Below are 8,677 nucleotides of genomic sequence, written 5' to 3'. Positions count from 1 at the left end.
AGGTTCCTATTGGGTCTGTAATCCTCCAGAATCTTTCCAATAAATTTCTTTGCTTAAGTTAGGTTCTACTACTTCTTGGAACCTAAGAGCTCTAATTAATACAGTGGTTAACTGTGGACTGTAGTAAATTGAATGCAGCTATTCCTGTTCTGTCAATGCTATGCCTAATTTTGTTTCTATATTGAAAAATTGTCATAAGTAATTCTCAGTTTTCATGAGCTCTTTTAGGGATCAGGCTAATACAGTCTTCTCTCTCCCTGTTAACACCACTAACAACAATATGTTGATGTACCTACTCCAGCTTGATGTCATCATGTAGTGCAATGGAATTTAAACCGATGGCCTAAACTAGAGCCAAATATTATAATTACCCATTACATGGTAATATACTGATTAGGGAGGATAGGAACATGGAAGAGAAGGCGTGGGTTATTTAATAAAACAAACCAAGGAGTAGAGAAGTGTAAGTTAAAAGCACAGGAAACAATTAACAAGGGACAATACAATGTAAAACCCAAGTTATTCAAAATGGTGACTAATTTTGAATAATTTCCTATATTTCTTCTAGTGTTTCCCTGCCCCTACTTTTTTGTTTTGTTTTGTTTTGTTTTTTGAGATGGCATCTCGCTCTCTCGCCCAGGGTGGAGTGCAGTGGCGTGATCTCAGCTCACTGCAACCTCCACCTCCCGGGTTCAAGCAATTCTGCCTCAGCCTCCCGAGTAGCTGGGACTACAGGCACACACCACCATGCCTGGATAATTTTTTTGTATTTTTAGTAGGGATGGGGTTTCACCGTGTTAGCCAGGATGGTCTTGATCTCCTGACCTCGTGATCCGTCCACCTTGGGCTCCCAAAGTGCTGGTATTACAGGCATGAGGCAGCAGCCTGGTCCCCTACTTCTTCTGACACTGGCTGCTGTTAAAATCTGGAGTTGCAGTCCTACTTCACCTGGATCGACAAGGTTGCTCAATACACGAACTCAACACTGATCCTTTTGGTGGAAAAAATGACACTAGCTGCAATATGTCTGCTGTCTCCTGTGGGGCCATCTGGGGCAAATTACTGCCCTTTCCCCACCATGCTTGGGTTGGGCCCAATGTGAGGACCAATATGGACTCAAGTTATTATAACATCTGGTTATATAATAGGACATAGTCAATGGGCAAGAGCTGCATCAATATTCAATGGTGGAAGGGACCGAGCCATTCTGTTTTGGTAACTGGCAACTCACTTTTTCTGAAAATAAGTGTCAATGATAATTGGGATATATAAACCTCAAGTCAGCCTCCCGCTGACCATTCCATGGATTGTTAAGAATTACACTGTGGTGAGCTAATAAATACAAAAGCCTAAAGCAAATGTTACTGTGAATAACGGGAATATTTAGTAAGTATCCACTGGTCTGAGTGGAGGAGCAAGGATTTTGCATGATGATTATCCCACTCCCCACTCCCAGAAGCCCTGCAGCCCCACTTGAGGCAGGTGCCCCTCCCCACATACTTCACTGCTTCCCAGGGATCTCCTGCACAGAGAAAAGCGACTCTCAGTTATATTCTGGGTTACTCAGTAAATGGGTTATGAAAGTCATTAAATTAATTTCTCATATTTATTACATACACACACAAAAATATCAACAGAGCAAACAAAACTTAAGATTCTAAGAAGGCTGGGGAGTTGAGCCACTGGTGTGTCCGTGCTTCTCTATCTCCTCTTCCTGTGTACAGATTAGGATGTGACAGAGTCTTAATTTAAAGTTTGAAACTATAATCCTAATTTCCATGAGAATTTGTAGTAGTAGGGAACCTGAGCTCAGCAAAGGAGGCTGCGGACGAGCCTCCAGTCTTTGGTGAGCCTCTTGTCTTCCTGTGGACTTCACCTCCTCACCTGCCTTTGCTATCCTGGGTTACCATGTTTAGACTCAACTCTAGCTCAGCACCCTCTGGTCTTGGGTAGGTATCAAAAATTAAATCTTTTTGTCTAGCCTTGGTTTCACACCCCCTCCCTTATATCTTTCCTATAACATCCAATAAGAGGATATCCTGCTTTCCTCCTTAGCCCAGATCGACTCGCCATGGGCACCACCATGTCTAAATGTCAGCAGGGCACTTCCAGCCTTCCTCAGTTTGTAACGGACCATTATAGTGCATGGTCTTTTAAATCTGCAATAGGCGCACCAGGGGTGACCCCAAATTTTAATTTCGCCTTTATGGGTCCTGGAACTATGGTATCCTGCAGCATTTAAAGGAGGACCAGGGAAGTCACCATGCCAACTAGATTGTTTCATGTATACATGGAAAGATTAGGTTCTGACACAAGTTGCCAAGAAAGTAACCAAAACCTCACTAAAGATGTTGAGAGAACCACTGGGAAGTCCTGTCAATTTCCTGTTCAAGTGTGACCCACTAAGACCACACCCCGCCTCCCATCTCACAACAGCTAAAGACCGAATAATTGACTTCCTCCTCCTTCTCTGCCCCCAGAGTCACCCAAAATCGTCTTGAGTAGAGTTCCAACAAGTGTCCTGATGTTCCATTTTCAAAGATGCCAACCGGAGATGCCCAGAGCTTTGCTATAAAGTGCCTCTTAATCGCATATAAAATTCAGCCTCACCAAGATTCAAGTCACATTCCGAGTGTCCCGGTGTGCTAGGGCACTTGCAGAGAATCTGCTGGTCTTGATTCACTGGTGGGGGCAATCGGTGCCCAGATTAGGAACATGCCCTGCCTGGGGTTTTAGACAGCGGGCTGGCAGTCATCTTTCCTCACACCTATCAGGCAGATGGTACCTGCCATGGTGTATTGTAAAGTATTAAAAAAATAAAAAAATTAAAAAGAACAAAGAAAAATTCAGCCTCAAACCATTAGCACTGCAATCCTCAAGCCATTAAGAAGGCACATCCTAGAAATAATTAGAATATTTTCCATCTAGAAAAGGCAGAATATGGCTGGGCATTGTGGCTCACACCTATAATCCCAGTATTTTGGAAAGCCAAGGCAGGTGGATCACTTGAGGTCAGGAGTTCGAGACCAGCCTGATTAACATGGTGAAACCCCATCTCTACTAAAAATACAAAATTAGCTGAGCATGGTGGTGCACACTTGTAATCCCAGCTACTTGGAAGGCTGAGGCAGGAGAATTGCTTGAATCCAGGAGGCGGAGGTTGTAGTGAGCCGAGATCATGCCATTGCATTCCAACCTAGGCAACAAGAGTGAAACTCCGCCTAAAGAAAAAAAAAAAAGAAAGAAAGAAAAGGCAGAATATTTGAATATTTCAGAATGGCTGAAAATAAAGTTAAGTCTCTTTTCAGATAAGTCTAGGCTGCAGAAGGCCAGGAGAGAAAGCAATTGTTTGTATTTCAAAAAAAAATCTTGGTCGACTAAGAGGCATTAAGAAGATACATTCTATATACATAAAGAGAAACTAGAGAAAAAGGAAAATTAAAGATCTGGGGACTAGGTTATGATAAAATCAGCTTAGAGAATCACTTGGATTTATGCATTGTAAACTTTGGTATAATATAATAATATGTTGGTAGGAAATGTTATATATTATAAAAGGAAGCTCAAAGAAGAGAGAGAATAAATTTTAAAGGCTTTAATATCATTACTATTTACTAAATTAAATTGTAATGAAATACATGAAGCTGTGTGGGTTCTAACATTGCCAGAAATTGAATAGTAGAAGATAGAATTGGGTGCCATCCAGAACTTGTGCATATGAACCTTCTGTGTGTAATGTTGCACCTGGTCACTACGTAAGGATCAGATAATGGCTAAATGAAATTTTCATACATAACTGGGGAAATTCGTTTGCTTGATTTTCCCTTCACCCACATCTCATAAGGTAGACTCTGAGAACAGTTTTCTACCATACTCAAAGGTTTATTATCACAAAAGAAAAAAACCTCTTGGCTGAAAACTGCCACCTTCTAGGAAAACTGCCAGCTAGTTATACTGACAACCTCCCAGAACTGAAAACAAATTAATCATACATGGTTTATATAAGACAAAGCCACACAGAATGAGCTATGAGGAGTGACTCTACAAGAAAATAATTTGATTACACATCTTAGTGGCATACAGTATAAGGATAAAAACAACTGCAAAGAAATCTTAAATTTTATTTAATAATTTTATCAGATAAATTAGTAATTAGATTAATTTTGTTTGGAATCAAGCTTTCAAGTATAAGGAAAGAGAAGGAAAATAATAAAATTTAAATGCTTTAATTGGGAATCATACTGTCAGAACTGAATTAGAAATATCAATAGAAATCCATGCTTTTTAAAAGAAAAAAGAGTATATGTTTTCCAATTCTGTCAGCTAAAATGAACTAATAACAAGGGCTTAGGAGAATGAACCTAATGTGTGCACTTAATGCTGAGATTATGGCATCTTTCCAGGATACCCTGGAGAAATGACTGATTCCAGGAGCCATTATGAGCCTGAGGCAACTTGCTGTATGTACCAAGAGGCAAGAAATAATTCATAGTAATGGGACTGTGTCAAAAGAACAAAACAGGGCCCCCCATTGGCCAAAGTGTGTCAATTTGAGCAGCAAAAATAATAATTATTGCAGTTGATTAAATCACATTGAATCTATGAGAGGCCACGAGTCCATAATGATACGCATGAGAAAATTTTGCTTAAAATTGAGTAAAGATGGTGAATTGAATAGAGTATATTACTTTTGGATCCTTTATTCAAACATCCTATTATTTTGACACATTTATCAGTGAAAAATACAGAATTTAGTAAATATTAAATACAAAGTTAGAAAGCATTTTCTGAGGCGGGGCGTGGTAGCTCATGCCTGTAATCTCAGCACTTTGGGAGGCCGAAGTGGGAGGAAAGCTTGAGCACAGGGAGGTGGAGGCTGTAGTGAACTGTGATCGCGCCACTCCACTCCAGCCTAGAAGACAGAGTGTGAGACGCTGTCTCAAAAAACAAACAAAACAAAACAAAAACAAGCAAGCAAACATAGTCTGGCTTGAGGGAAGATGCCAGTATGTGATCATAAATTGGACAAAATCATTCAAGACAGCCGCATTTTAATCAGATCAAATTTCAAAATTTCAAATATCTATAAGCATTTTATGTTCTTAAAAACATGAGAAACTTGCAAGATATCATTAAATTCAAAGGTTTCCAAAACCAGTTTGAAACACATTTGTATGTCTTAAAACCTTTTGTGAAGTTTAGCTGTATTTAGACAAGTAAAATTTTATTTACGTATCTCCAGAGTCAAAATACAAAACCCAAGCGATCAGGGCAAAGTGGAAGCAACCAACCCCAACCTCCCCGCATGGAAACAGATAGTGTGCGCTGGTCACATCCAGGGACGTGCTCCATGCAATCCACAAACTAAGATCTGCCCCGACCATATTATATGGACCATATAAAAATTAAAGTAGCTGTATATGTACTTTACTGACATAGAAACAAGTCTATGTTATATTGCTAAGTATAAAATTCAAATTTTAGAATGTCAATAGTATAATCCCACTGAAGTAAAAAAAAATTGATATGTTTTTCAAGTTTGAGTCTATAATCTTTGTATGGGAATTTTTAGTAAAGCGTATATATTCATCTACAGCTTAACTTTTTAGTCTTAAAAAAGGCAAAAGTGAAATTTCGACGATGAAATCCACGGTTGTAACCAGCAATACCACACTTGCACGGTTGCAATACTCGCGCTCTTCGCACTGTAACCTCTGGAATCCACTGTAACCTCTCGAATCCGCTGTCACCCGAGATCTCTTAACCTGGCGGTCCCCTGCCAGGACTCGGGCGGCCGTCAAGAGTGCGCAGGCGCAAGCGCGGCCGCCGTCGGTGGGGTTTTATGTGCTGTTGAGACTGCTGTTGAGCTTCTGGGCCTTTTTAAGACTGCCTTCCAAAAGACGACGTGATGACTCTAAAGAGAAAGGAAAATTTGTTGCGTACGCAGAAGGGCAGGCTGGGCGCACTCTGAGCGTCTTTCGGGGACCGACGGCCTCGCCCACGTGCTTCCGGGCACCAGCGCGCCCAAAGCCCGTGCACTAGGAAACGCACAAAAGCACCAGCGGGCGAGCCCGAGGGCGAGCCCACGGGTAGCCAGGAGGCGGCGAGGGCGGCTTGTCTTCCAGAGACTGGGGAATCAAGAAAGGCAGAGCCACCTCCTCGGCCCCAGCGCAGCAAGTGCAGGAGGCAGGGAGGGCGCAGCGCCCCGCCGTCCACGGTACCCGTGGAACCCGGTGCGCGCCCCGGGAGCTGGGGCGGCTCAGGCCCAGCGTGCCCAGAAAGCCAACCACGTTGGTCAGGAGGACGTTCTCCCACTATCCGCGATCCTCAGGCTCTGATTAAAGTCAAATTAAAAGGAGCTATCCGTTCCGGTATCTGTTGTTACTCTTGTGATAAATATGGTGTTTGATACGAAAGTATCTTAATAGTCATGCTGCCAATCAAAGAACAAAACACGTAAAGCCTGTGCGCTAAGAACACGAGAGCATTTCGCTCCTCAGGAGGTGCAGTTTATCTTGTCTCCTTTGTTTCATATATAATTCCAAGGAGAATTCCTTGTTATCAACACATTTTGCTCTTTGCCTTTGGGGGATGACATAGGCATATTGCATTTGATCAGATTAGTGTTAACCTTCCACCCACGTTTTTACTACATGCTGTACCATTAATACAGCAGGATTTTATACCTTTAACCGCAAAATTCAAGAGCAGAAAAATACTCAAATTGTATGTTAGTTTAACATGAAAACGAGTTATTTCAGCCCTGATAGGATACTTTTAAACCAATACTACCTAACAAATATGTTTCTTATTCGTATAAGCCCATACACATGGTTTTTTAAATGAGTTTTATAAATAATAATTAGCATTGAGGCCCTGATCTAAGTATTTGAAACTCTGTTACTCTTCACAACAATCCTGAGATGGGCATATTTTCCTCATTTTGCAGATAAGGAAACAGGCACTGGGATGGTAAGAAACCCAGGCCATCTGGCCCCTAATAGCCTTTTACCACCATGCTAAAGCTTTACCCATTTTTGAGATCCAAAATATTACATAGTGCACACATATTTGGTAACCAAATCAGGATTAAACATTAAAGTTAAGGGCCAAGCACAGTGCCCTGTAATCCTAGCATTTTGGGAAGCTGAGGCGGGCAGATCGCTTGACCTCAGGAGTTCAAGACCAGCCTGGAAAACATGGTGAAACCCCATCTCAACAAAAAAATACAAAAATAGTTGGGTGTGGTGGTGTGTGCCTGTGGTCCCAGCTACTTGGGAGGCTGAGGTGGGAGGATCGCTTGAGCCAAGGAGGCAGAGGTTGCAGTGAACCAAGATCACACCACTGCACTCCAGCCTGGGTGACATAGTGAGACGCTGTCTCAAAAAGAAAAAAGCAAAATTAAAGTAAGAACATAATAAGAAATATGTTTGGCACTGTGTTACGGGGAGAAAAAATCAATAGGGAGATAAATCCTGCTTTCAGGGTAAGTGCAATTTGCTGAGTAAAAGAAATATTTTAAGATACCTTAAAAAAGAAAACAAAGGCTGTTGTAAATTGGATATTCAATTAAATATTCTTGGGCAGATTGGCAGATGATAGATCTAATGAACTTGGGGTTTATAAATACACAGAATGCCACATTTTCACTAATACCTTATGTTTTGGGTAAAGAGTAAAACCAACTTTGAAAATGAATTGTGTATGCAATTATCTTAAAAATAAAGATTATATAATAAGTCACATTATCTTGCATTATGTGTAATATCTAGGGGGTTAAGGCACTCTCATTCTGCTAATATTCACAGCACTCCTATTATATAACCATTTCAGAGCCCTGAATTATAATCCTAACTAGGTGACAGTTACTGAGTAAATTTTGCAATGTAGATTTATTATAGAATATAATTGTATTACTTTTTCTCTATTCATTGGCATCCTTTTATATTTGGGGTTTGACACAATTGCACACAACAATCTTTCTACTAAAATATTCCATAGAGTTGGCCAGGCATGGTGGCTCACGCCTGTAATCCTAGCACTTTGGGAGGCTGAGGCAGGTGGATCACCTGGGGTCAGGAGTTTGAGACCAGCCTGGCCAACATGGTGAAACCCCATCTCTACTAAAAATACAAAAGTTAGCTGGGCATGGTGGCATGCGCCTGTAATCCCAGCTACTCGGGAGGCTGAGGCGGGAGAATCGCTTGAACCCAGGTGGCGGAGGTTGCAGTGAGCGGAGATCGTGCCATTGCACTCCAGCCTGGGCAACAAGAGCGAAACTCTGTCTCAAAAAAAAAAAAAAGATTGAGGCTCAAGCAGGTTAAATATTATACACACACTAGATCACATACTAAGCCACACAGGTTGTATAGAATAGAAATCCTATTCCAGGGCTTCACAGACCTCAAATTGTTTCTGTAAATGGTTCATGTTTATTAATTTACCTTCTCAAAGTCAATATACTTCAAAAACAGAACTGCTATCATTAAAATGTGGTTACACATAACCTAACACATAAGTGCTTTAGAAGAAGGGAACTTTACCATTTGATTTTTTAAAATATAGATCCTAACACTTTTGTGTGTGTGTGTTTTCTCATGAATATGGTAATATTATTGGTCCTTTTTCCAAAGATATGGTATGAAATTAATTTTTTGCTTAGAGTCAGGATCTTGCT

At 40.9% G+C, this 8,677-nt stretch overlaps 1 pseudogene, besides 1 other annotated feature; it reads left to right on the top strand.

Moving 5' to 3' along the window:
* The first annotated feature begins 2,608 nt into the window (after nt 1-2,608).
* On the top strand, nt 2,609-2,719 carry LOC124900263 (uncharacterized; annotated as a pseudogene).
* Nucleotides 5,892-6,392: an enhancer, noted in NCBI's record as "H3K27ac-H3K4me1 hESC enhancer chr8:57030128-57030628 (GRCh37/hg19 assembly coordinates)". NCBI's record gives its function as "activates a minimal SCP1, AML or CMV promoter by ChIP-STARR-seq in primed H9 embryonic stem cells {active_cell/tissue: H9 hESC(primed)}" and the evidence as "EXISTENCE:reporter gene assay evidence [ECO:0000049][PMID:30033119]".

Source organism: Homo sapiens, chromosome 8 (assembly GCF_000001405.40).
Source record: "Homo sapiens chromosome 8, GRCh38.p14 Primary Assembly".
NCBI lineage: Eukaryota > Metazoa > Chordata > Mammalia > Primates > Hominidae > Homo > Homo sapiens.
Note: the sequence above shows the minus strand (reverse complement) of the source record. Positions and strands in the feature narration are given on the sequence as shown.